The following is a 25,186-nucleotide window of genomic DNA, read 5'->3' on the forward strand; positions in this document are numbered from 1 at the left end:
CCTAGTCCCACAGATGTGTGGGCTACCCCTCTCTCCCCATGCCTTTGGGAAACTTTCTTCTTCCTGGGAAACAGAATCTGGACCCTGCCGAGGACAAGGACCCCGGAGGCCTCAGTGGGAGAGTTGTGGGGAGGGGGTCATAACAGGGCTTCTTGGAATGGACCAGCTGGAAGCCAGCCTGCTTTTCTCTCCCTTCCTCCCTGGTCACTGCTTCCCTTTGAGCTGTCCCTGGACTTCCCACCCCACCCCCAGCTTCAGAGATTGAGGTGGCGGTTGCCTGGACAACCTCGGTTCTTCTCTGCGGTCCAAAGGAGAGGGCTGCTGGGCAAGTAAAGCAGGGCTGCCTGCCCTGAGGAGCCTGGAAGAGGGGCACACTGGGGTCCCCTCTGTCGTGGAGGAGTATGGACAGGGGCTGAGGGGGCCACGCGGAGGCCCCAGGATGGGCACAGACTCCAGGACTGCCGCTGGTAGCCGAGTGGCCAAGCTGTTAAACCTTTGTCTCCATTTCCTTTTTCAGAAGGGTCTGCAGAGTCTGCAGGTGGCGCGCACATTCGTCATGATGCTGAAGAGATGAGCAGAGTGCTTAGTCTGGGGCCCAGCGCACTCATCTGGAAGCATGTCAGCGGAGCCGCGGGACAGCTGCCACGGACGGCAGTGGCCCCGGATTCATGTCCCGAGTCTGAAGAGAGCTCCTCCCTGGCCTTTTGGTTTTTGGGGCCTCCTAGTGTCCTCCCCACACTTCGGTTTAGGTCTCTGTCTTGCAGCATCAGCGACTCCCACTTCTTTTCTGACAGGGCTGTGGCTGCAGACAGCATCTCCAGCTAGTTCACAGGTGGCCGCCCCTAGGCCACGGGCTTTCCCTGGGGATGAGGGACCTTCAAATGGAAAATGGCCACTTTCATAGGACTGTTTCAGGTTACAGGGTCACCCCTTCCTGTCCCTACCTTAGACTCCCAACCCCATCGCTGCACCTGGCCTGGCCTCCTCTGGAAGGAAGCTCAGATTTGGAGCCTCTGCCAGGGCAGGGAGCCTGTTGGAACCAGCCCAGGGCCAGCCGGCTCATTCCTGGAATTCCTACCTCCTCTCACTGCCCTGGGTTGGCACCAGGTGCTGAGTGGGCCTCAGGCCAACTGTGGGCATGGGCTCGATGCCGCTGCTTCCTCCTCCACATCAAGGCATCAGCCGTATCTCACCCCAAAAGGCAGAGAGGAAATCCAGCTAAGTCCCACGCCCAAGCTCTGTGCTGGCTTCTGGAGGGAAGACACAGCCACTGATCGGCACTTTTGGTTCATGTGTCCTCCTACAACAAATGCGAACAACCATATACCCTTCACATGGCTTATGTCTAGCTCTCAAACGGTATCACAAGTGTAACTGCTACAAAGTATATAATCTGGGGCATTATTTTCATGCTTCAAATATATTTAGGGCTAAAGCCTTAAGTTGTTCAACTTACAGAAAATACCCACCATGTGACCTCATTAGCAAAGCCAGTACTTCTTGGCAAACTGATTGGCCAATTCAGAATTCAATTTCCATTAAAAAAGTTTGATTGCTTTTAAATTTAAATTAAAATGTTATTTAGTTGACAACTAAAAATTTTTAGTGACAACTATCTCACTTCTGAATTATGACTTAATAATGGGGAGGGAGGGAGGTAAGATGAATGAGTAGATGGGATGGATGGATGGATGGATGGACAAGTGGATGGGTGGATGGGTGGATGAATGAATGGTGGGTAGGTTAATGAGTGGGTGCATGGGCAGGTGGATGGGTGAGTGGATGGGTGGGTAGATGGGTGGATGCATGGGTGGATGGACAGGCAGGTGAGCAGATGGACACACAAAGATATGGAATCTTGTCATGTGCTTGTCAATTGAATTCCAAAAGGCACTGCCCTGTTTAACAACCCTATGCTTTGCAATCCACCTTTCCCTCATGCTGCCCAACCTTAACACGTCCATTTGGTGCCCCAGATGTTTTTACACCCTGAGCAGTGCACCATAATGAGTTTCAGGAGGGGCGAGAGATAACTTTCTTTTGTGAAATGAAAGAAGGGTGATTGAGGAAGCAAGGGGGGAACAGGCATGGGCAGAGGCACGGTTCTGGGAAAGCGCATCCCCAGATCCCAGAGGAGTTCCTCAGGACTTGCCCAGCCTGGGGCCCCATCACAAAGCTCCTCTCTGTGGTGGAAGCCCTGTGTGCCAGACTACTTCCCCCCAAGGAAGGTGGCCCTGGTGTCTTCCTGCTCTTTCTCCATCACCACAAGCATTTGAAGCCCTGGCTTTTACCTGGGAAGCGAGAGAAACATCTCCTCACCCACTAGCCCTGACTCCAGCTCAGACAAGCCTGGACAAACGCAGCTCATGCCCAGTGACATTCTAGGTCGCCGGGGGAAGATCTGCTAAGCCATGGCCTGACCCTCCGGGCTCAGCATGCACTGAGCAAAGCACCCGACCAGAACACTCTTCTTTCAGTCATCACACTGAGGCTTGGACCTGGGGGTGACTGTCCCCACCAACAACACAGGAAATCAATCTTCCTGGAGGTGATCAGCCTCCTGAAGAGAAAAGTCTGAAAATCAGGAAGTCACAAAGTTTTTTAAGACTCTGCACGCTTTCCAAGCAGAAGTTAAGGTCCTTTGAACCCTGTGATTGCAGTAACCATTTCTCTGGGGTGGCTCATACAATTCCAAGCCATGGAAGGAGGACAAAGCACTTGTGCCAACAGGAGGGACGACCCGCCTCTGTGAGGAACCTCCTGGTGGGCTCTGGGCTTCCTGGCAGCCACAGCTAAAAGGGAAACTTTTTGTTGTTGTTTATTGTTTTGAGACAGAGTCAAACTCTGTCACCCTGGCTGGAGGGGCAGTGGTGCAATCTCGGCTTACTACAACCTCTGCCTCCAGGGTTCAAGCGATTCTCCTGCCTCAGCCTCCTGAGTAGCTGGGAATACAAGCGCCTGCCACCACGGGGGTTTCACCATGTTGGCCAGGCTGGTCTCGAACTCCTGACCTCCAGTGATCCACTTGCTTTAGCCTCCCAAACTGCTGGGATTACAGGTATGAGCCACCGTGCCCGGCCAGAAACATACATTTTTACTGAAATTGCCTTCAACTCCCCAGAAAGCTGGAATACTTTCTTTCTAGTTAATTTTCACACACACACACTCTCTCTCTTAAGTTGGAAACGTATATGGGGCAAAGGAAATGGACATCATTGACAGAAATCTAGTAGCCTCTTTACCCGATTTAGTTCAATCCTTACAACAGGCAATATGATCTGTTTTTTTCTTTGTTATCAATGAGGAAATGAAGTTACAGGAGCAGAGGGACCTTCCCAAGGAGGGCCACCAAGTAGAAGAAAAGCTGCTGTTTGCACCCAGCTGGCTTGACTGCAGTGTGGCCCCTCACGCTGCACAGCACAAACTGAGGACCCACGTCCTGAGGCTCAGCTGAGGGAGCCAAGCACATGGGCTGCAAAGATCTGGCCTTGATCCCGGAGCAGAGCTCACACTACTGCTGGGAGGAGGAGACAGGCATGGCAGGGACCTCGCAGGCCTACAGGAAAGGCAGCCACAGCTGGCAACACCAGCTTGGAGGGCAGACTGGGAGCTGAAACCCCGCCCCCCCACACCCCGGCCACCTCTCTCAGGCAAATGTCACAGCTGCATTTAACAGTGCTGGCTTTTCGGTATGGCCTCAACTCCCATTTTAAAAATCTCACTATTTTCCATGGGAAGTGGGGAGATGGAGAGAGGGAGAGACAGGACCTGCTCCTCGACAGTCTTGGATGAAGCCCTAGTTAGGGTTGTACAGATGAGAGACACAGAGTACCTCAACGTTCACTCTGCAGAGTGGACAGAAGCGGGGCCAGCTTCGAAAGCGTTGAGGAAGCTCACAGGAGCCAATGTGAAGAAAGTGCGGCCATGGAGGAGTCATCCGTGGCACTCGCTCTCAGAGCCTGCATTTATCCTGCATGCACGTGTCAGGATGAGACTGTGCCATCCTGTTCCCTCTGCGGTCCCGACGCTGGTAGAGCCACCACAGGGTGGGCTTGGCAGGATGTGTCTCTTGCTCCCATCCTCCCTGGTTCCCCACCATCCCTGCAAGCTGAGTGGAGAAGCTGTGATGAGTCTACCTGGAAATGGCTTTGGAGCCCTGGGTCCTGGCATGGAGCTGGTGCCCATCAGTAGAATTACTTAATCTATCGTGCAACCCAGGAGTGTCTGGAAGCTTCTCTGCGTACCAGAGCAACGCTGCTCATCTCCTTTACCTGCAGAAAGGACAGGAAAGGAGTCCAGCCCTACTAAATTCAACTCAAAAAAGCCACTGCTCCCCTACTGCAAGCCCTCAGGGGCCCGAGCGCCAGGTGCCAAACCCAGGCCAACCCCAGGGCCAGAGCAAGGCCCCTCAGGTTCAGGGGGCCTGGGCAGCTGGGGCCAGACACACAGAAACTGCCAGAGCTTCTGCTGCCATGCTGAGCATGTTTCCTCAGCTTTAAAATGGTGACCTCAACAGTGACTGGGGCTAGGCAAGGTGGCTCTCACCTGTAATCCCAGCACTTTGGGAGGCCGAGGTGGGCGGATCACTTGATCACTAACCTCAGTCAGAGGTTAGTGAAAACAAAGGTGTCATTCTTCTCCCACCCAAGTGCATGGACCCCCTGAATTTGATCCCAAATCCCAAGTTAAGAAGCCTCCGGCCTATTCTAGGCTTTTCCTTGACCTTTAATGAGGCAGAGCCACATCCCAAAGCCCAACAAGGCAAGGGAAGATGCAGGACAATACTGTGCCCGTTCTGGGAAATTCACCCAAATCACCCTGGCTCCCTGGGCAGGGCCTGAACCTCTGCAGGTGCCATGGGCGGGCCAAGCTGCAGGTCAGGTAGGGTTGGGCCTGAGGGAAGAAGAGCAGCTGGGGGGCCGATCACCTTCATGGCCTCTTCAAGTTGGAAGAGACCATTCCCACCTCCTGAAGGAGAGAGGCCGGGCAGATCCATCGGGGCTGGGCCTGGGGCCGGGGCTGGGACATGATGGACGGGGCATGCAAGTTTCTTGCTCTGCGAAATATCCCCCCAGTGATGATCCAGAAGAACCAAGGCTCTTTCCAAGCTGTGCTCATTAGACAACTGCTTCTGAAGAAGTTGCTTCTTTCCCCACTATGATTCTACAGCCTTCGGTGTTGAGCAAGGGATGGTTGCCACACACCCTTGGGGTGGATGACTCTGGGCTCATTCTTGTCAATTCCTGACCAAAGAAATGTCCTTTGAAGGCAGGGAGACCTGGCTGAGCAGCCAGGTGGAGGAGGCAGTTGGCTACCCTCTCCTTGCCCTTGGCAACTTGACAGTCCCCCCAGGCAGGCTCTCAGGATGCCAAAGCCTCCAAGATGGCCCGTTTTCTTTCCTGCATCAGGCACAACCCAGGAAAGCTCCACTGGCCATCTTGGGACCGAGGTTTCCAGGGAGACCTTGCCCCATCACTGATGGGGAAGGCGCCTTCTCCCTTCCCCAAGCCCCATCCCAGACTCAGTCTGACCCCTGGGAGGCCAAGGAACATGGAGCTAGGCCTGCTGGGCAATGACTGGAAGCAACACTGCTCCCAGCCCCCAGCCCCCACAATGTAGCATATGGCTTGGTTTCAAATCCCAGTTCCACTGCTGTAATGTGGCGGCCATTCTCCCCCTGTAAAGGGCTATCTGGGCATTGGTCCTGGTGTTTAGTGCTTTATAGAATTTGACCTCAACTTTTAACCCTACTATCATTAAGTCTGTATCAGAGAATCAAGTGGTTTAACCAAGCTTGCACATACATGAGAGCCACACGTGAGAGCTTGAACCCAAACTCAGGTGGGCCTAGCTCCAAATCCACATTCTGTCAGTTGCAACCGTGTTTTTTCCTCCTCCTCCTCCTCCTCTTTCCAGCATGAGACATTGGGCAAGTTACTGTGACCTGTGGACCCATTTCTTCATCAGCAAGAAGAGGACAAGAATGTCTACCTCCGGGGGTCACTGTGAGGGTTAAAGGAGGTAGTTATGCAAAGCACTGGCCAGTGGGCTTGACAACTGCTTGACAAGAAGGGTTTGACAAGAGCCAGGATCTTGGCAGATGACGGCTCTGCATGCTCCCAGAGAAGCGGGAGGCAGGGCGGTGTGCCCAGGTTCCTTCCAACCCCTGACCCAGCATGTAGAGGAAGAGGCTGCTACCTGTCTAATATCTACGCTCCCTTTACTTGGCGTTGGAGTCCTGGAGTTTCCTCGGGGCACTTTCCAGTCCCGCTCGCAGTCAGGCGTGGATGTGACTGAGTTCTAGCTGTTGGGAAAATGGAGAAGTTATGGTGCAACTTCTGGGACATGCCCTTAAAACAGGCTTGCCCATCACTTTCTCTCCTCCCCTTTCCACTGGCTGGAATGCAGATGGGATGGCCGGGGCTGCGAAGGCCAGGGTGGACCAGGAAACCGCTGCCTTGCATGGAAGACGGCAGGGCAGGGAGAGAGGGGGTGGGAGTTGGAGAGAGAGGGAGAGAGGGGGAGAGAGTTGGAGCCCTGTGGGCCACAGCTGGCTCACACTCACCCTGTGACTGTGTGACAGGGAACTTCACCTCTGCTGCTGTCTGGACTCTAGCTGGAGCCAACTCCTGGCTTTGGATGCCCAGAGTGAAGCGCTCAGGCCTGTGTGGAAGTGGTAGCGTTCACCTGTGGTCCCCACCACTGCTACAGGAGCAGACAGTGCGAGGCAGAGTCCCAGGATGCCCCTCCCAGGGCTGCACCTCTGGGCAGGGGGAGGGACGAGGCCCTCTGTGCTCTTGGCTCTTCTACACGCACCATACTCACCTCTGAGACACACCCGCTCAAGATCATTCCATTTTCTAAGGAATCTGGCGTCATGCCCCTACGCCAGCATCAGAAGCACTTCTTACACTGTGAAGGCGCTATTTGGATTTTGTGGGCCAGCACACCACTGAGCACCACGGAAGCCACTGCTGAGAGCCACCGTGCTGGGGCACCTCCGGGTTCCTGTTCACAGCAGAGCCACCCTGCACGCAGGCTGCGCCACGGCATGACCTTCTCGGGCTGCCCGCTGTCTGAGGGGCGCCTGAAGGTGAGATCACAAAACACAGAACACGATGTTTACCCGTGAGCATACGCTTGAGCTCATGAGGTTCATGGTGACTATGAAAACGCACAAGGAGGGCAGGTAGCCCAGGGCCCACGGTGCAACCAGTGGGCGCAACGGTGCCGTGAGCTGGCGCTGCGGCCGTGAAGCTGCCTCCTGGAGCCATTTCGCCCCTCTGAATGGCGCTCGGGTTATTTTCAGACAAAGGAGCATCAACTGGAGGTTCTGCCTTTTCGAATGGATGGAATTACATTCCCAACTTCTATTTACCAGAGTTTCCAGGAGAGAATCACTCTCAGGAGGGGCAGACAGGATCAGGACTCTCCACGGAATCAACTTCATGGCTTCTAAAGCAACTTCAGGAGGCACAGGAATGGGGAGACCTCTCATCTGGGTGGGTTCCCCCTTCCCAGCTCATGAGAGGGGCAGATGCCAGCAGGCAGGCCTTGAGCCTTGGCTGGTGGGACAAGACCAAAGTCAGCCACCAGCAATGTCTCCAAGACTGATCCCAGCACACAAGGCAGGCAAAGAATTTTCTCAACTCTTTTTATTAAGTTAGAAAACTGATAAAAGCAACACAACTTTTGGGGAAAGCACCATGGCACGTCCTTTGTGCTATGTGATAAGTGTGCTTTATCTCAATGAAGCAACCCCACGGGTCCAGGCACCCTCCCTGCAGTCCCCGCGGCCAGGCTCCTGAGTGTGCCAGCAGAGCCGTCCCCTGGGACCACAGCCAAGTGCCTTCGGGCAGCTGGCCTGACACAGGCGGGGTCTGCTGGGTCTACAGGGTCCAAGGAGCCCCATGCAGCCAGTGCCCCATGGCGGGCGTGTCAGTGGGCAAACCCTGCCCAAAGGTCCCACCCCCAAGAGGCCTCCAGGACCCGCACCAAGGCATGGGGGACACTCGTGGCTGCTTAAGTAACTGGTATGTGCACAGCCCCCTCCGCGGCCCTAATCTTGAGCCAGCCAAGCAGTGTTCACACTGCAGGTGCCTGGGAAGCCCCAAGTTTGGACACCCTGCCCAGTCCCTGTCAGGGCACCAACACCCCTCCCTCTCAAATGGTGGCTTGGGAGTGAGCGAGAGGCATTAGGATGGTCACTGACAGGCGCCAACCTCTCCATAGCCCAGGTGTCAGGGAGGTGCTGGTGAGGGACCCCAGTGACTCAGGAGGTGACAGCAATGAACAAATGTTCAGCAGTTCTCTCGGGGCCATTCTTATCTTGGAGCTCAGGGAGCAAATGGGGGCCAAAACGCAAGAGGATGGTGAGGGTCCCGTCACTGTCCTCCACACTGAGATGGATGCGGCCCTGGTGGGATCTGCAGGGGACACCCTGGGGTCCCTCTGCTGTCTCCAGCTCACAGCTGCTCCTGGTCTTGGAGGGCAGCGTGGTCTCCTGGGGAGAAGCCCCCAGTGCTGTTGGCAGGTGTGTGCCATGGGGGTCACTGCTGCCTCTCAGGGTGGGCTCTGAGGAGGGGAGGGGAGGGGTGACCCCCAGGGCACTCGGAGCCTTGAGTCTGCTGCAGGCCCAGCTCCACTGAGTGGCCACGAGCAACTGTGTCCCCACCGGGCCACAGCACTGAGCAAGGCCCTGAGTAGGTGGGCTGGGACTTACAGCTTTGTGGAAGGGGCCCACAAACCTTGGAGGTCTGGGTGTCCTTTGCTAATAAGGCCTCATGGATGTCACTGAGGCCCCCCTGCAGTTTCTGCACCTTAAAAAATCTGTCTTGGTCACCTTTCTGGTCTCAACCCCTGGGAACCTAGTTTCCCAGGCCCAGGACACCATCTATAGATGGCAGTAGAGCCCCAGCAGGGCAGGCCAGGAGGGAAAGGATGTGTGGCAGTGCCGCAGCCCCAAAGCCCACCCGGGGCGCCTCCCTGCCCCTGCCTGCCCGGCCCCAGTCCAGGACCTGCCAAACAGGTGATCTCAAGGCTCTGCAAGTGTCCTTCTCCCCGACGCCAGGGTCAGTCCTGGTGGCAGTCCATGCCCCTCTGGGAGGTATGTCTTCCCACAAACCACTGCAAAGCTGAAGAGGCCCCCAGGGGCACGGATGCAAGAGATGCTTCTCTTCTCTTGCCTAAAGCTCAGAACAGCCCAAGGCTGCTGCTCCCCAGAGCTGGCAGGGCCCCTTCCACCTCTCGGAGTGCTGGCCCAGGGCCGGCTTAGCTCCCGCTGTGGCAGACAAGCAAGGCCACGCTGTGACACTGAAGGCCGCGGTCTGTGGAGGGAGGAGAGGAAGAGAAAATCAATCAGTGGCCACATTGTTCTGTTCTGACCTGATCTGGAACAAAATGACAATGACACAGCTGCCCATGAGGCTCGGGCGTGAGAACGCCAGATCCACCATTCACCGGCAGCGCAGTCTGGTGATTCAGGCACCCCAGGCCTGCTTTCCCCACTGAGTGGCAGGTGACTCAGGTGTCAACTTGATTGGATTCGGGGATACCCAGACGCCCGGGGACACATTACGTATTCTCAGTGCTGGAAGGGAAACCCAGGCGGCTTGGTACTTGATTCGAATGGCCAGGCCGCCCCAGTGAGTCTGTGCTTCCAGAGGTGACCGGCGTGAGAGCCGTGGTTGCAGGTGAGCACCATCAGATGGGCAGGGGCCCTGGTGGAATAAAAAGCTAAGGAAATGGGGACTCAGGTTTCTTTCTTCTGGAGCTAGGTTGCTCTTTTCCTGCCATCGGGCATCAGAGCTCCAGGTTCTCTGGCCTCTGGGACTTGCTGCCCACCACCCCACCCCCACCCCAGGCTCTTGGCTCTTTGTCCTTGGGCTGAGGTCTGTCCCCAGCTCTCCTGGTTCTGCAGCTTGCAGCCTATCATGGGACTTCTCAGCCTCTATCACCAAGTGAGCCAATTCCCCTAATAGAGTAAGTTCCCTCTCACATACCACTCCGAGGCCCTGAAAGGAAAAGGTGAGCCCTCTCGCACAGGCGGGCACAGGCAGGCGGAGCACTCTAGCAACCCTGAGTGTTCATGCACTCCATAAGGCAAGGAGCCTCAGCAAAGCAGTGATTAATGGTGACGCTGTCCGCGGTTTTTGGCTTTGGTTGTATTTAAGCTGTACGTGTTAGTTTTAGTTGTGTAAGAACAAGAACATAAGGGGCTTTCTAGTTGTATGCTTGTGTGTATTAAGTAACCTTAGTTACATTTCAATTAAACACTGAAGCCAGCACTGAGGCTCCACGGCTGTCCCCTTTAAGTGGGGTACACCTCTCCATCCCACACAGTGCTGGGCCGTCTGTTCTCTGAAGGCTGCTTTGCAGGAATTCTGCCCTCCCCACGTGCTCAAGTTGTTTCCAGATACAGAGGCTGGGTTCGGCGACTGAGAAGGCCCCCAAATCCCTTCAAGCTCCTCACAAGTGAGAAGCTGGGGTCACAGGGGCCCTAACCATCCTGAGATGCTCTAAGACTGCAAACCCGAACCTCTGGGGCCTGGCTGCCCGGTCTTGGCCCCATCCCAGCACGCCACATGCTGACATGTGGTCCCTTCAGGGCAAGGCCTCACTGCTACCTGGAACTAAACAGCCACGCTACCTACCTGGGGGTGTCCCCCAAGGCACCCTGAGTTGCTGAAAGGAATACAGATGACAGCTAGAGGCACAGGGGTTGGGGAGCCTCGGGGCCAGGCTCCTGTGTTCCCTCTCAGGCTGGGTCCCTTTGTTCCCTCTCAGGCTGGGTCCCTTTAATTTTTGGCAGGTGCTCCCTGGGGCCTGGCCTCAACTGTGAAATGGGCTAATCCTCCAGCTTGCAGAGTGGACAAGGGTCAGCGGCCGCCCTGCACTTCCTGTGTGCAGCAGGTCTTGGCCAACGTGCATCCTGTGGGTTGTTGGTGTAGGGCCTGCCCCACTAGGCTCAGCCTGCCCCATCAAGGGTGGGATGCTGCTCTATCCCCCAGCCTGGCACAGGAACGAATGACTGCTGATGCCTGGACGGACGGACTCCGTCCTGGGCACTTGCTTAGCCAGGCCCAACCCTCAAGGCTGGCAGAAATCCTCAGGCCTGTGCTCTGGGATTTCCCATCTGTAGCAACTTCTTTAAGACAGGAGAGAATGTACTGTACTGTCCCTCCTGCAGCAGTGACGGAGCCCACAGTGGATTAATGAGCTCGGCCTTTCCCAGAGCCAGGACTGGAACCCTGCCCTGCACCCCAGTGGCTAGGCCCCAGCAACACCCTGAAGAGAAGACAAGCTGTCGGCAGCCGGATGCCTGCCTTGCATTCGGCAGCCCCCCCATGCTGGAGGCGGGTGGGAAAGAAGGGTTGGGAGTCTGCGCCTTAAAGGGCCTGGAGTACGGGGTGCCCAGTGGGAGAGAAAGAGAGAGAAGGAGAGAATGTTCACAGCAAGATCACCCTTAGTGGGTAAGCGGGGGCCTCCTGCAGCCGCTGGCTGCTATCCCCTAGGCTGTGGATCCAACCGCAACACTGGAGCAAGGGGCTGCCCTGGAGGTCGCTCAGGTTCCAGCTCAGCAATTCCCCGCCGCTTCTGGACGGCTGCTGGCCAAGCCTGTGCTCTGTGCCAGGGGCGCAGACGTGAGGATGCCCGTGGCCAGCTCCCCAGAGGCGCCTGCAGGCAGGCGGCACACTCAGGGCTCAAGTCCTGCTCCAGCCCTGACTCACCATTCATGTGATGCCAACTGTCTCACCTCTCAGAGTCCTAGTGGGCGCCCTCCAACAGCAGGACCTACGACAAACAGCTCTGGAGAATGACAGGGAACTCGATGCAGACGCTCACACCTATGAAGAGCTCCAACAGGTGGCCAGAACAGGGGAAAAAAAATGCTTGTGGACAAACAGGGGCCATGATCTGGGGTGCAGAGGCCACAGTGTGCAGGGGACCTCCTGGTGGCTTCTGAAGCTAACGTCAGAGTCTTACAGGATGGATGGAAAGGGGCCTCCAGGGACAGGGGCAGTTGGGCCCAGCTGGAGGCAGGAGACTCAGCCATGCTCGTGGGGACTAGCGAGAGCTGGACTTCTCACCAGCATCCTTGGCCTGATCCCCACTGCTGCCTGGGAGAGTAGCGTCAGGGAGGGAAACGTAGGGAGCGGGGTGGTCACAGAAGCCATCTCGGGCCCAGGCACTGCCAGACGACATTCTAGGTGGCAGACGACGATGCGCTGGTTGGGGCTGCAGGCAGCCAAGCTCAGTGGGAAGTGCCATGGTCACCAGGGGCACCCACCGCGGGGGAGGTGGCAGGAGTGCTTTGTTTCCACCCTTCCTGGCCCCGGTCTGCGGCTGCCTGAGTTGGGGGCTCTCCTCTGGCTCAGCCCTGACAGCTCCGCAGTGGCCGCCTGAGCAGCGAGAGCTCTGCTTGCAGCCACTGTGGCTCCATTTCCTGGTGACCCAGGGAAGGCCAGGCATGCCCGGGCAGCGGCTTCTGGGCTGCAGGCCCTTCTATGGAGAGCCCAGCTCACTCCCTGCCTTTGAAGAGAACTCGGACACTGAGCTGTCCAGGCAGAAGCTGGACAGGAGGAGCTTTGCAGAGCATGGGAACAACCCAGGGTCATAGTGAGGGGACAGAAGCCACGGGATTGGGGTGGCCTCAGGCTGAGGAGGGGCTGCGCGGAGGGTCTCTGGATGGCCACCAGGCCCATGAGAAGGAAGCAGCTGGAACGCAAGGCAGTGGCAGAAGCTTAAGAGCAACCCGGACTCAGCGCAGCAGCCAAGGAAGCACACAGCCCAGAACGCCTTGGGGACATGGCTCTGGGATGACAGGGTCTGGAAGTAGCTTCCCCATCAGATCTGGGACTGGCTCAGTCTTGTGTGTCCGCTTCCTCATCCCTAAATGGAGCTGATGACAGCAATCCCATTACAGACTGAGGAGGACTCCAGTGGGCACAGGGCAAGTGCCTGCTGAGGAACAGCAGTCATGGGTGGACAGGCCTTTCAGAGGGAGGGGCTAAGCAGAGACATCTAGAGGCCCTTGCAGCCCACAGCACCCCAAAACCATCAGCATCAGCATCTCCCTGTCCTCCATCGCTACCCCTTTTAAGCTGCTTCTGAAACTGGCAATCACTTGATCTCTATTCTAGTGCTATGAGTAATACAATTTCCACTCCCGTTGTCCAGATGGGGAAGCTGAGCCTCAGGGGAATCAAGTAGCCAGTCCAGGGTGAAGCAGCCAAAAAGTCACAACCAAGACACCATGCATGCTCTCCTTCCAGGGTCCCTGGGATCAGAGCAATTCCTGGGAGAGTACATGGTTCACCAGGTCCAGTTGACAGGGCAGGGCCAGGTGGGAGGGAGCCTCTGACCTGGAGGGTAGGCAGGGGGCAGCCTCTGGTCTGGAGGCTCAGACCAGAGATGGTCTCAGCTGCCTGAGGCCAGCAGCATGGGCCCCCTCACACTGCCCAGCCCGGCTGGCCTGGGGTGGGAGGGGCCTCCATTTCCCACAGGTGACATTCCCCAGGTTTCTAAATGACCTAGAGGATAGCAACAGGGAATTAATGAGGAGATGCCAGTATCCTCTTGGAATCTCACTCCTCAGGGAATCAAGAAATTTGGCAGGTCTGATTTTTCTCTAAAGACAGCAGATTAAAAAAAAAGAAGACCGGGCACGAAGGCTCACACCTGTAATCCCAGCACTTTGGAAGGCCGAGGCGGGTGGATCACCTGAGGTCTGGAGTTTGAGACCAGCCTGGCCAACACGGTGAAACCCCATCTCTACTACAAATACAAAAATTAGCTGGGCATGGTGGCAGATGCCTGTAATCCCAGCTACTCAGGAGGCTGAGGAAGGAGAATCGCTTGAACCCAGGAGGCAGAGGTTGCAGTGAGCAGAGATCGCACCATTACACTCCAGCCTGGGGGAGAACGAGACTGTCTCAAAAAAAAAAAAAAGAAGAAGAAGAAGAAGAAGAAAACAGAAAAGCTGTAAAAGAAAAAAGCAAGCCAGATGCGGTGGCACACGTCTGTAATCCCAGCTACTCAGGAGGCTGAGGAACGAGAATTCCTTGAACCTGGGAGGTGGAGGTTGCAGTGAGCAGAGATCGTACCCTGCACTCTAGCCTGGGTGACAGAGCGAGACTGTCTCAAAAAAAAAAAAAAGAAAAAGAAAAAAGAAAAATAAAAGAAAAAAGAAAACTGGTGTTCCTATTCAGGCTGGCCTCTGTGAGCCCAAACACCCTGTGTTCACCAACTTGATGCTTATGCTTGGGCCCTCCTTGCCTGCCACCATGTCCCTTTAAGGGACTCGAAGGCTTGGCTGGATCTGAGTTAGAGGCTGAGCCATCAGCTTCCATTGAGAAGCAATCCCAGCTAAGAATGACTGCCTTCACTGGGTAGAGCTTTCAGCATTTGTATCAGCAGCCGCTGGCTCACTGAGGAAATTAATGTTTAGCTCGGGCCAGCTCCTGAAAGGGTTCCTATGACCTGAAGCTGAGCCCACACGTGGGGATCACTGCCACCACCCAGCGCTGCAGGATCGTGGGAAGCGGCTGGGCTCCCTCCGGCAGGACAGCTCATCTTCCACAGTCTCGTCCTGTGCTGGAGGCAGAGTGCACCCAGGGATCTTATGCCCCTATTGCAGGGGTGAGGGGCCCAGGACAGCATGAGCCGGGAGAATGGCCAAGGGCTAGTGGCACGCACCCTGGCCTTTCCCAGGCCCTAAACACAGAGGGTGTGTTGGGCACAAAGCCCTTCTCTGGCATCTACCCCAGTACCCTGCCAGGCTGGCCGGGATACCCTCTCTCGTGGCAGGACCTCATGCCGATCCTGCCCCTATTTGCTGCGGGAAGACCCCGCCCCCAGCTCAGCTTCTCAGGAGATTAAACCAGCACCAGATGAGACACTCCTCCCGCCCGTTCCTTCCCTTCACTGCAGGGTCTGCAGGGCCTGGCTCAAACTGCTCCCAGTGTCTCTGTCCCACCATCACCTCCCACAGAGTGCCTTCCGTGTCACCTGTTTTCATAGCGATTCCACACAATGACAGTGTGGCAGCAACCCACAGACACTCGCTCTGCAGGAAGCCCTGCTCCAAGGCCCTCAAGGATGACCTCGCTTAAGCTAGACGCCTGCCGGCTTCGAGGAAGGACTTCTCCCCATCCCTTGCATGCTGGTGAGCACACAGCTGCCCCCAGGAGAAACAGGACTCAAACCAAGGCTGTCTGTTCCCACCATGCAGGCTTTGGTGTTTACAGTTAACAGTTTTTTGGAGGACTCCACCATTTAGACATGGATGTCATGCCTGGTTGGCGATCATTTTTTTTTTTTTTTTGAGACGGAGTCTCACTGTTGCCCAGGCTGGAGTACAGCGGCATGATCTTGGCTCACTGCAGCCTCTGTCTCCCAGGTTCAAGTGATCCTCCTACCTCAGCCTCCCAAGTAGCTGGGATTACAGGTGTGCACCACCATGCCTGGCTCATTTTTTGTATTTTTAGTAGGGATGGGGTTTCACTTGTTAGCCAGGATGGTCTCGATCTCCTGACCTCATGATCTGCCCACCTCGGCCTCTCAAAGTGCTGGGGTTACAGGCATGAGCCACTGTGCCCGGCCAGGACTGACTTTCACATTGCCCAGGCTGGTCTTGAATTGGGCTCAAGCCATCTGCCCACCTCAGCCCTCCTAAAGTGCTGGGATTATAGGCATGAGCCACCATGCCCGGGCCTGGTTGGCAATCTTCATACATATCATCACTCATCAGTGCCAGGAGAGTAACACTGTCCTGACTCCATGGGGAGGGGGCCATTCTCCTGGACTCTGCCTTAGTACATGTCTCTTCCCTTGGCTTATCTTAATCTGTATCTTTCCCCTATAATAAACTGTAACTGTGAGCATAACAGCCTTCAGCGACTTCTATAAGTCTTTCTGGCAAAATTGACCGAGGGTGGTTTGGGAGGCCCCCTTTGTTGCACCTGGTGTCAAAAGTAAGAGCAGGCTTGTGTGGAGACTGCACCCTCAGACTCTGCAGGTTGACCTATGCTCCACACAGCACTGTCAAAAGGTCCCTGGGTGATTCTGAAGTATAACCATGTTTGGGAACCACCATGTTGGTCTAACCATGGTTACTGTCCCCATTTTGCAGACTGGTTCAATAATTTGCTCCAGGTTAACTGCAAATAGAAGGCAGAGCCAGGATTTGACTCCAGAGCACACCAGCCACCTGCTGCCCACCCAGACTTCCCTGGAAGACACGGTGACCTTCACCCAGTGGGAAGAGGTGGGACTGCATTCCCCCATGACCTTTCCGGACCCAGAGTGGCCGTGGGCTGCCAGGGACTCACCTGGCTGGGCTCAGCAGGTGCTCCTCACGCGGGCAGGTGCTTCCAGGTGCTGACAAAGGCCGTGGGGATAAGTGAGTAGGGCACTGTGGTGATGCAGTTCCATGTATCTGAAGTGGGGTCATAGCAGTCCAGAGTCTTACACCTCTGGGTCCCAAAGTAGCCCCCGACCACATAGAGCTTGTTGCCGGAAGCCAGGGCATGGCAGGACATGCGCTTGGCAGTCATGTCCCCAATCCGCGTCCACTGGTTGGTCTCACAGTCAAAGCGGTAGGCCGAGGCGGCTGTGAATTCCGTGTCACCTCCCATGATGAAGATCTGGCTGCCCAGGACGGCAGCGGCTGTGTACCGCCAAGGCTGGGGGCACTCGGCCTTGATCGTCCACCTGTTCTCCGAGGGGTCATAGCACTGGACCTTGGACACCATGTCCCGGTGGATGCTGGTTCCTCCGAAAACAAAGAGCTTCAGCTTGGCACTCACCACTGCGGCATTGCTGACGCCATCCCGCAAGGGGGCCACCATCATCCACTTGTTGGCCCCAGGGTCGTATTTCTCCACTTGTTTCAGGGAGACAGAAGGCGAGGCCGGGAAGACCCCTGCCAGGGATGTGTGTCCCCCCACCACATAGAGGCAGTTCTCCAGCTCAGCTGAGCCATGGCCAAAGCGGGCAATCAGCATGGGCGCCGCCTTGGACCATTCCTCATGTACGGTGTCGTACACCCAGACATCCTTGGAGACCCCGTTCTCGGAGCCCCTGCCCCCCGTCACATAGACCTTGCAGCCGATCGCTGAGGCGCTGAACTCCTTCCGGGGGCTGGGCAGGTCGGCCTTGGGGATGATCTCCTTGGCCTTGTGGTCCACCTGGTAGATCTTGTCACACATGAAGGTCTGGCCCCCCAGGATGAGTAGCGTGTGGCCCGCCTTGCGTGGCCGGGCACAGGGGCTGGTGACCACGCCATCATTCTGCAGGATCCTGGTCTTGCAGCGCAGGGCCTCATCCATGATAAGCTTGGTGCGCTCGTCTGCCATGAGGAGGGCCTCGCTGGAGACGGCCTCCTGCAGGCAGTCGGACGGCAGCAAGGCCAGACGCACGCTGCGGAGGAGCTCGGGCAAGTGGACCTTCCGTGGCTCCAGGTCGTGCTTCACCCACTGGAGGATGGCCTCGAAGACCACCCGCTCGTCCTCGGTCTCCAGCTCATCACTCGAGATGAGGTCCAGCAGTGTGTCCTTGGACAGGCTGTTGAAGTCCTCGCTCTGCCTCACCGTCTCAAAGTGCACCAGGCACATGCGCCAGGAGAACTCATACAGCCGGCGGCACTGGTGGGCGTCCGAGAGCAGCATCATGCCCAGGCAGTTGGAGGGGAAAAGGTTCTTCTCCAGGAACTCGGCGGCAGCATCCCGCACATCGTGGAACTGCAGCATGTCGCCTGCCTCCAGCAGTGACTCAGCGTTCTCCTCGTTGATGGCGATGCGTGAGGAGTAGGCAAAGTCCAGCAGCAGCTCCAGCACCTCCGGGTGCAGGTTGTCCTGGAAGTTGACAGTGTCATCCCGGCTCTCCCGAAGGCCATGGCTGAACATGGCCTCAAAATAGCGGCTAGAGGCGGCCAGCACGGCACGGTGACAGGGGAAGGCACGGTCGCCCGCCCAGAGTGTGACGTCGGTGAACATGCAGTGCTTGCGAAGCGTGTTGAGGTGGGCCAGCACACAGTCCGGGTGGGAGGCCTTGTGGAAGAGGGTGACGTTCATGGACCCCGTGCTGCTCCGCGACTTGCGGGTCTCATGGACACTGACCGACATGGTGCGTCAGCTTGTGGGGGAACAAGCCCACAGGTTAGAGGAGCCCCTCCTGCCCATCTGCCCTCTCAGGGCTCACTCTTCAGCACAAGCCCCCTTGTCCCCTCCCACCCACTCTCTGCTCACCTCTGCTAAACCAAGCCCCTCTCCCGCAACCACGTTGCCAAGGACAACACAGGCAAGAGTGGCTGGGTCTCACCCTGCCCTGCAGAAACTGGTTTTGTTCTCAGGGTATGAGCCAGCTCTGGGACAAACATCTCTGGCCTGCAGATGAGCCACCCCCTAGGCAAGCTCCAGTTGAGGCTGCCTCCCATGGTTAAGAGAACATGCAAACGGTGTTCCTGACTGAGGCTGGTGTCCGGGCAGTGCTAAGTAACTGGTGCCTTTGACCACATTCCACTCTCATGACAGTCCTCTACAGAAGCTTCTCTTGTAAGTCCCATTTTAGAGCTAGGGAAGCCACAGCTCAGAGAGGCCAAGAAACTACCCAAACTGCCACAGCCAGGATTCTCACATGGGCTGTCCGGCTCTGGAGCCTGATCTCTGTTCAAGGTGACTAATCCCTGCAGGGTTTGCTGTGGACGCCCAAGCAGAGCCTCACGTACCCACTTCCCTGCTCCCAGCAGGCTCTGCCCTGGGCCGGGCTCCAAGCGGTACTGGCTAGACATCCCCCTTGCCTTGGAACAAGAGCCGCCATCAAGGCCCAAGTGCTCAGTGGAGACATGTTCTCTGAATCCAGGTGTCTCCACAGGGCTCTTTACCTAGCTGGGGCAAGTGATGGCTTGGAGGTGGGGCCGCCAGTGACTCACCCTCGAGACCAACGCAGAGGCCCAAGATGACAGCAGGACATGCCGAACCCTAACGGAAGTGATCCAGATTTGCCTCAGCAAAGCAGAGAAACACGAAGCCAGAGCTTCCCAGGTCCCCCAGCTGACGCCAGGATCCTGGGCCAACGCAGCGCCTCCCCTGCCTCCCTTGCCTGCCCTTCTCCACCAGGCCTGGGGACCTGGCGCTCAGAGTGATGGAGTGATGGCCAAGAAACAGGTTCACTACTTGCTCAATCTAGGGGAATTCTAAAGCACTGTCATTAATGTCCAGTGAATGGCATGACCCGAGGCCCCAGTTCAGTACTTTGAACTCAAGGCTCAGCCAACAGGCGGCAAAACTCATATACCTAGAGAAAACATGGCCAACACCCTTGAGGCCATCTCGAAGACCACAGCTACCTGCCCCACTGACCTGTGGAAGGAGACTGTATTCACCAAGTCTCCCGATCAGGAATTCACTGACCACCTTGTCAAGACCCTCACCAGAGTCTCCATGCAGAGGACCTACGCTCCAGCTGTGGCTACAACAGGGTTTTTATACAAGAAAAATAAAGTGAATTAAGCCTGAAAAAAAAAAAAAAAAGAAAGAAAAGAAAACATGGCCAAAAAGCAAACTGCATTCCAGTATCTTGACCCCCTAAAAGCCTGTGCTGCTGTCTTCCTGCTGGTAATGGGGCCAAGAAAAACAAAAAACCCTAAACAACAAAGTTTTTCATTTTTAATTTTCAAAAGTATGTAACTCTCCTGCCGCCTCCCACTCCAAGTCAATTTTCTACTTAGGTAATAATCTGGTAAAGGTAGGAAACGATTTCATGCTTCAGTGAAATTGTAAATGAGTGTCCGGCTACATGGCTCTCTCTTGCTCACTCCTCCTCTGGAAAAGAGGCAGAGAAGCCACAAACTGACGAGATTAGAGCTAGCAAGGTCCCTGCTTTTGGGCTTAGGCAGAGAGGGCACAGGGCCAGACTGGCCTTGCTGCTTGGACCCCCAAGCTCCAGGTAGACTGTACACCGAGGACCTGCCTAAGACACTGCTGTCCAAACCTGCAGCCCACAGTCCACAGGGCTCCGAGGCTATATGAGGTTAGCCCTTCTGGGGGTTGGGGTGAGAGCACTGGACGCAGATCCAGGCTGTATCCTGGCTCCACCTCCATCCTGTACCTCACTATTATTTTCTTGTAAAGTGAGATCCCCATCCTACTCAGGCCTCCACAACTCACTTGTTGGCAACTATTTCCTGAGCACATCCTCGAAGCTGGGCCCTCAGATGCAGTGGCACGGAGCCTGAGAGACTGCGCTGACCGGGTCTGAGGGAAGCTTTGCCAACAGCCTGGCCCGTGACTGATCGGAATTGCCTAATCTGAATTCCAGACCCTGCGACATTTCCCCAAATCTTGCTGTGATTGCTAAACTCTCACTCCAGTTTCCTCACTCCAGACCACCCCCTTGGTGATCAGACAATTTCCCAAATGTGGCTCTGTCCCCTCCTGCCCCACCCCACAGTGTCAGGACATTTTAAGAGGCATTTGTTGCCTCTGGTCTGCAGACCGTGCTGGGGGAAACGTGGAGAGCCAAGGACCAGGAAGAATTCTAGTTCGAGCCCTGGGACTCCTAAGCCCATGCCCTCTCCACTGAGGTCACGTTCAAGGGCCCTGATGCTGAGGTTTGGCTTCAGTTCCATTGTCAACACACTTGTGCTTCCAAGGACCTCCCTGCTCTAGGTCCCTAGGCACCTCATCGCACCTGCCCCCTGCCCCACCCTGGCCCTGCCAGAGGGGAGGCTGGTTCTGAGCTTGGGCTGAACGGCAGCTTGAATGCCTGGGCTTGGACACTCCAAGTGTGGGGTGAGCCCCTCTGGGATTCTTCTTACAGACAGCCCCAGCTGGAATCCCAGCTCCTCACCTTAGTAACTACGGCCCTGGAACCAACACACCTAGAACTAACTCCACTCTGGGGCACTGTGTTAACTGGGCTGCCTGCGAGAGTACCCAGGCAGAGACTCCCTTTGGAGGGGGTTATGGGCAGGACAAAGCAAGACTCAAAAGACCGAGAAAGCCAAAAAGCAGGGCAAATTGAAACAGGGCAGCCACAATGGTCCAGAGAAGGAGGCAGAGCAGTGACCTCTCCAAGCCAACAGTGAGCGGCAACCCAGGGTCCCAGAGCTGACAGATACCCTGCCAAAGTCGGCACCAAGAATGCCTGCCTGCTGATGCAGATGCTGGCAACTCATGTACACGCCCAGGCAGGTTCCCACCCCCTAGACAGCCGCCAGCCTGGGGCACCTCTGTGCCAAGGGCGGAAGCACCTGCCTAGTTGTTTCCCCGGTTTGTCCCATCTCCTTCTGGGCAGCGCCTGCCCCTGAGCCAATCTTCCACTGATGGCAGCCACTCACTCACCGACTCAGCCTGATCCCAAGTGAGGCACTGGAGCCCCACTTTACAGGCAAGGATGCTGAGGCCCACACAGCTTCTGGGCATGTTATTTGTGTACTGTCTCCCAAACTGCACAGGAGGCCCAGAAAGGCAGGGACCATGTGTGGGGCTCACTGATGTGACCTCAACACCCAGGACAGATCCCGGCACAGAGGTCACTTGACTTGATGGCATGGACCTGTCCATCTCTTCCTATGCCCATGATGAAGCCCTGAGACACAGCACACGAAACTCATTCATATCAACTCCACCATGACTGCCAGCCCAGCCACTGTCAAGACCCAGAGGAGAGGAAGGCCGAGGCAGTGGTGAATGCTGCCCAGGCGGCTGCGACACCTGACATGTGGTAAACGCGTGTCATTTTACTCACACCAGCACAATGCCGCCTCCTCCTCGCACTCACACCCTGACTGTTCTCTGGGAACCACCTGCCTCCAGGCAGCTCAGCGGGTGGCATCCCGGGGTGGGCACTGGGCCCCAGGTGCTGCACATCACTGGGCCCTGGGGATCAGGTGGGGAGTGGACACGTGCCAGGCCTGGCTGATGAGCTAGTGTCATCCTCCGAACTGCTGTGATGGGGCCTACACCCAGGACAGACCAGTGGGACTCTATACTAAGATGTTCACTGGAACTTTGAGGAACGAAGCAGGCCCTTTCCCTAGGACTGCTGACCGGACTGGACCAGGGCTGGGAGTGGGAAGGGGTGACAGCCGTGTTGCCACCTACCCAAGATGGAAGCCTGCGCAGAGGGCCAAGTGGAGCCCTGTGGTCCTCTGGTCCGCCCCCTTTTGCTGAGGCCTGTCACTTAAGGACTCACAGGGTCATCAGTGCCCTGAATTGGTGACCAGGGGCTGCTTGTCTCGGTAAGGGGTCTTAGCTATGTGTCCCTCCACCCCTTCCATCTAGCAACCAGAAGAATGGTTGTGTGTGATTATTTTCAGTTGCTCAAGATATATGTGTTCAGTACCAGTGACATACCCAGCCTCATAGCAGGGCCTGGGGATGCAAAAGCAGCCCAAGCCAGAGGCTCCCAGCGGCGGGGGGTGGGGAGCATGTGAGAGGGCCCAAAAGCAGGCCCCGGGAAGCCTCCCTGTGCCCATGGCTCACGTCTTTGGAGCCATAATCAATCAGACACTCTCGCTCTGCACATATCACAGAATTGTTCTCATGACCTAAGCGTCGTCCTGAGCTTTGATGGATTTAAGGCACATAGCGTAACTGCACAATGTTGCAATGCCACAGATCAGCAACTCTTCATCCTGCTACGAGGGGTGGATCCACCTTGGACATCGCTGCTCCCCAGGCAATCCTCACCTACAGACTCAGCTAAAATGTACCGGGTAACAATGTGCCCAGCATCCTTCTCCAGCACATCTTTGGAAAGTTAAATGCACAAAGAAACAAACTAGCCAAGGGGTGAGACTTTCTGAAGAAAACTTGCCACACTCACAGAAGATTCCAGTGACCGAAAGCGAAAGGCCTATCCTGAGAGAAATAGGAACCCGGATGCCATCAAAGCTGCTTTTTCCGTGCCAGTCTCAGGAAGGCCTGACTTAGTATGGCTACAGCACTAACCCCTTCCCACCCGCCTCCACTAACCAAGAGTTAGCAAGGCTCAAAACGAGGGTGTCAGCTCCATCATTCTTCACTACAGGATGGGGAAACGAGAGAGGCACAGCGCTCAGCCTGCGTAGTACCCAGGCATGAACAGCTCAAATTATCTCTGGAGCTCAGGGCCAAGCCAATCCGTATGGCCCCCTGGTACAAAATGAAAACCCCTCCCCACTCCCGCAGTGCGATTCTTTTTTTCTTTTCTTTTTTTTTTTTTTGAGACGGAGTCTTGCTCTGTCTCCCAGGCTGGAGTGCAATGGCGCGATCTCAGCTCACTGCAACCTCCGACTCCCAGGTTCAAGCAATTCTCCTGCCTCAGCCTCCCGAGTAGCTGGGATTACAGGCGCCCGCCACCACACCCGGCTAATTTTTGTATTTTTACTAGAGACGAGGTTTCACCATGTTGGCCAGGCTGGTCTTGAACTCCTGACCTCAGGTGATCTGCCCGTCTTAGCCTCCCAAAGTGCTGGGATTACAGGCATGAGCCACTGCGCCCGGCCAGGGCGATTATTTTAGGTTTGCCAGTGTACCTGCAGTGTACCAGTCTCTGGGTTAGCAGGAAAGCACCTTTGGAAACTCGGAAAAGCCAAACCTGGCTTTTGGGCTTTTTGACAGATGTGGCTCTGGACCCAAGCACAAGACTTAGAGAGGAAAATGCAGCTGAAATTCAGGCTGCATGAGGTTGGGTGCCCTTATGCAGTGAACAACCTGCACAGTGATTCACGGCCACCCTGCAGGAGCTGACGCTGACAGAAACCCAAGACACGGCCCTTCCTGGCACCAAGTATGCACTGGGTGCATCGGAGTCAGGATTCCACCAACAATGACTTCATGAAAACACACAGCCGCAAGGACCTCAGCATGTCCCTTTGCCAGGAGTTCCATCATTCCCGTTTTATTGATAAGGAAACAGACTCAACGCCACATTCTTGGAACTTGGGCCTGACTGCAGACTTTGAGCTGCTAATTCCTCAGGAAGGCGGAGGTGTTCAGCAAGCAGTGGCAGGAAAGGAGATGGAAAGATGAACTCCTTGCTCTCCTGTCCCCTCCTGAGGGCTGGCAGCACAAGCCAGGTAGGATGCACCAGCCACCCGGCCTGAGGTCCCCTGCCTGGGTTGCAGAGGCTGTGGGGGCAGCAACCATGTGTGAGGGCGCCCAGCCAGGCTGCTGCCTTTCAATGGCTCGTTTAAAAAAAAAAAAAAAAAAAAAAAAAGCGGCCAGGCGTGGTGGCTCACACCTGCAATCCCAGCACTTTGGGAGGCTGAGGTGGGCAGATCACAAGGTGTGGAGTTCGAGACCAGCCTGGCCAACATGGTGAAACCCCGTCTCTACTAAAAATACAAAAAATTACCCGGGCATGTTGGCGTGTGCCTGTAGTCCCAGCTACTCGGGAGGTTATAGCATGAGAACTGCTTGAACCCAGCAAATGGAGGTTGCAGTGGGCCGAGATCACGCCACTGCACTCCAGCCTGGGCGACAGAGCGAGACTCTGTCTCAAAAAAAAAAAAAAGAAAGAAAGAAAGAAATGCAGGCAGGGCACAGTGGTTCACGCCTGTAATCCCAGCATTTTGGGAGGCTGAAGCGGGCAGATCACCTGAGGTCAGGAGTTGGAGACCAGCCTGGCCAATATGGTGAAACCCCATCTCTACTAAAAGTATAAAAATTAGCTGGGCATGGTGGCACGCACCTGTAGTCCCAGCTACTTGGGAGGCTGAGGCAGGAGAACTGCTCAAACCTGGGAGGTGAAGGTTGCAGTGAGCCAAGATCGTGCCACTGCACTCCAGCCTGGGCGACAGAGAGGCTCCGTCTCAATCAATCAATCAATAGCAAAAAAAACCTTTATGCATATTTATTCAATATTGTATAGATCTTGTTATTTAAACTGTAACTGATCTGAATTATATTTTTCAATGTGCATATTTATTTAGTTTGGTTTTGTTTCATCTTTTTATTGTGAAAAGATCTGAGGCCGGGCACGGTGGCTCACGCCTGTAATACCAGCACTTTGGGAGGCTGAGGTGGGCGGATCATGAGGTCAGGAGATCGAGACCATCCTGGCTAACACAGTGAAACCCTGCCTCTACTAAAAATACAAAAAATTAGCTGGGTGTGGTGGCGGGTGCCTATAGTCCCAGCTACTCGGGAGGCTGAGGCAGGAGAATGGCCTGAACTCAGGAGGCGGAGGTTGCAGTGAG

At 55.8% G+C, this 25,186-nt stretch overlaps 1 protein-coding gene, 1 long non-coding RNA gene and 1 other non-coding gene across 5 annotated transcripts in view, besides 8 other annotated features; all 3 read right to left on the minus strand.

The window, feature by feature from the left end:
* Positions 1–3,255: 3,255 nt before the first annotated feature.
* LINC02883 (long intergenic non-protein coding RNA 2883) lies at positions 3,256–7,040 on the minus strand. The gene is made up of 6 exons (NR_120366.1): positions 6,826–7,040; positions 6,566–6,663; positions 6,199–6,304; positions 4,137–4,271; positions 3,833–3,970; positions 3,256–3,556 (listed from the first exon to the last, which is right to left on the minus strand). It is a non-coding gene; the product is annotated as a long intergenic non-protein coding RNA 2883 (long non-coding RNA).
* Positions 7,041–7,640: 600 nt separating this feature from the next.
* Positions 7,641–25,186, minus strand: part of KLHL25 (kelch like family member 25) — a 35,600-nt gene continuing 18,054 nt past the window's right edge. For all 3 annotated transcript variants that reach the window (NM_022480.4, XM_047432938.1, XM_047432937.1), the window contains exons 2-3: positions 16,332–18,135; positions 7,641–9,326 (exon numbers count right to left, since the gene is read on the minus strand). In NM_022480.4, coding sequence (NP_071925.2) covers positions 16,356–18,125 — 1,770 coding nt within the window. In that variant the 5' untranslated portion in view covers positions 18,126–18,135 and the 3' untranslated portion in view covers positions 7,641–9,326; positions 16,332–16,355. The remainder of the gene's footprint in view (positions 9,327–16,331; positions 18,136–25,186) is intronic.
* Positions 8,917–9,418: an enhancer, noted in NCBI's record as "H3K4me1 hESC enhancer chr15:86303833-86304334 (GRCh37/hg19 assembly coordinates)". NCBI's record gives its function as "activates a minimal SCP1, AML or CMV promoter by ChIP-STARR-seq in naive H9 embryonic stem cells {active_cell/tissue: H9 hESC(naive)}" and the evidence as "EXISTENCE:reporter gene assay evidence [ECO:0000049][PMID:30033119]".
* Positions 10,235–10,968: an enhancer, noted in NCBI's record as "H3K27ac-H3K4me1 hESC enhancer chr15:86305151-86305884 (GRCh37/hg19 assembly coordinates)". NCBI's record gives its function as "activates a minimal SCP1, AML or CMV promoter by ChIP-STARR-seq in primed H9 embryonic stem cells {active_cell/tissue: H9 hESC(primed)}" and the evidence as "EXISTENCE:reporter gene assay evidence [ECO:0000049][PMID:30033119]".
* Positions 11,703–12,436: an enhancer, noted in NCBI's record as "H3K27ac-H3K4me1 hESC enhancer chr15:86306619-86307352 (GRCh37/hg19 assembly coordinates)". NCBI's record gives its function as "activates a minimal SCP1, AML or CMV promoter by ChIP-STARR-seq in naive and primed H9 embryonic stem cells {active_cell/tissue: H9 hESC(naive and primed)}" and the evidence as "EXISTENCE:reporter gene assay evidence [ECO:0000049][PMID:30033119]".
* Positions 12,437–13,169: an enhancer, noted in NCBI's record as "H3K27ac-H3K4me1 hESC enhancer chr15:86307353-86308085 (GRCh37/hg19 assembly coordinates)". NCBI's record gives its function as "activates a minimal SCP1, AML or CMV promoter by ChIP-STARR-seq in naive H9 embryonic stem cells {active_cell/tissue: H9 hESC(naive)}" and the evidence as "EXISTENCE:reporter gene assay evidence [ECO:0000049][PMID:30033119]".
* Positions 16,101–16,875: an enhancer, noted in NCBI's record as "H3K27ac-H3K4me1 hESC enhancer chr15:86311017-86311791 (GRCh37/hg19 assembly coordinates)". NCBI's record gives its function as "activates a minimal SCP1, AML or CMV promoter by ChIP-STARR-seq in naive H9 embryonic stem cells {active_cell/tissue: H9 hESC(naive)}" and the evidence as "EXISTENCE:reporter gene assay evidence [ECO:0000049][PMID:30033119]".
* Positions 16,876–17,649: an enhancer, noted in NCBI's record as "H3K27ac-H3K4me1 hESC enhancer chr15:86311792-86312565 (GRCh37/hg19 assembly coordinates)". NCBI's record gives its function as "activates a minimal SCP1, AML or CMV promoter by ChIP-STARR-seq in naive and primed H9 embryonic stem cells {active_cell/tissue: H9 hESC(naive and primed)}" and the evidence as "EXISTENCE:reporter gene assay evidence [ECO:0000049][PMID:30033119]".
* Positions 17,650–18,424: an enhancer, noted in NCBI's record as "H3K27ac-H3K4me1 hESC enhancer chr15:86312566-86313340 (GRCh37/hg19 assembly coordinates)". NCBI's record gives its function as "activates a minimal SCP1, AML or CMV promoter by ChIP-STARR-seq in primed H9 embryonic stem cells {active_cell/tissue: H9 hESC(primed)}" and the evidence as "EXISTENCE:reporter gene assay evidence [ECO:0000049][PMID:30033119]".
* Positions 18,425–19,197: an enhancer, noted in NCBI's record as "H3K4me1 hESC enhancer chr15:86313341-86314113 (GRCh37/hg19 assembly coordinates)". NCBI's record gives its function as "activates a minimal SCP1, AML or CMV promoter by ChIP-STARR-seq in primed H9 embryonic stem cells {active_cell/tissue: H9 hESC(primed)}" and the evidence as "EXISTENCE:reporter gene assay evidence [ECO:0000049][PMID:30033119]".
* MIR1276 (microRNA 1276) lies at positions 18,811–18,893 on the minus strand. Its single transcript, NR_031682.1, has one exon. It is a non-coding gene; the product is annotated as a microRNA 1276 (primary transcript).

Source organism: Homo sapiens, chromosome 15, assembly GCF_000001405.40.
Source record: "Homo sapiens chromosome 15, GRCh38.p14 Primary Assembly".
Classification (NCBI taxonomy): Eukaryota; Metazoa; Chordata; class Mammalia; order Primates; family Hominidae; genus Homo; species Homo sapiens.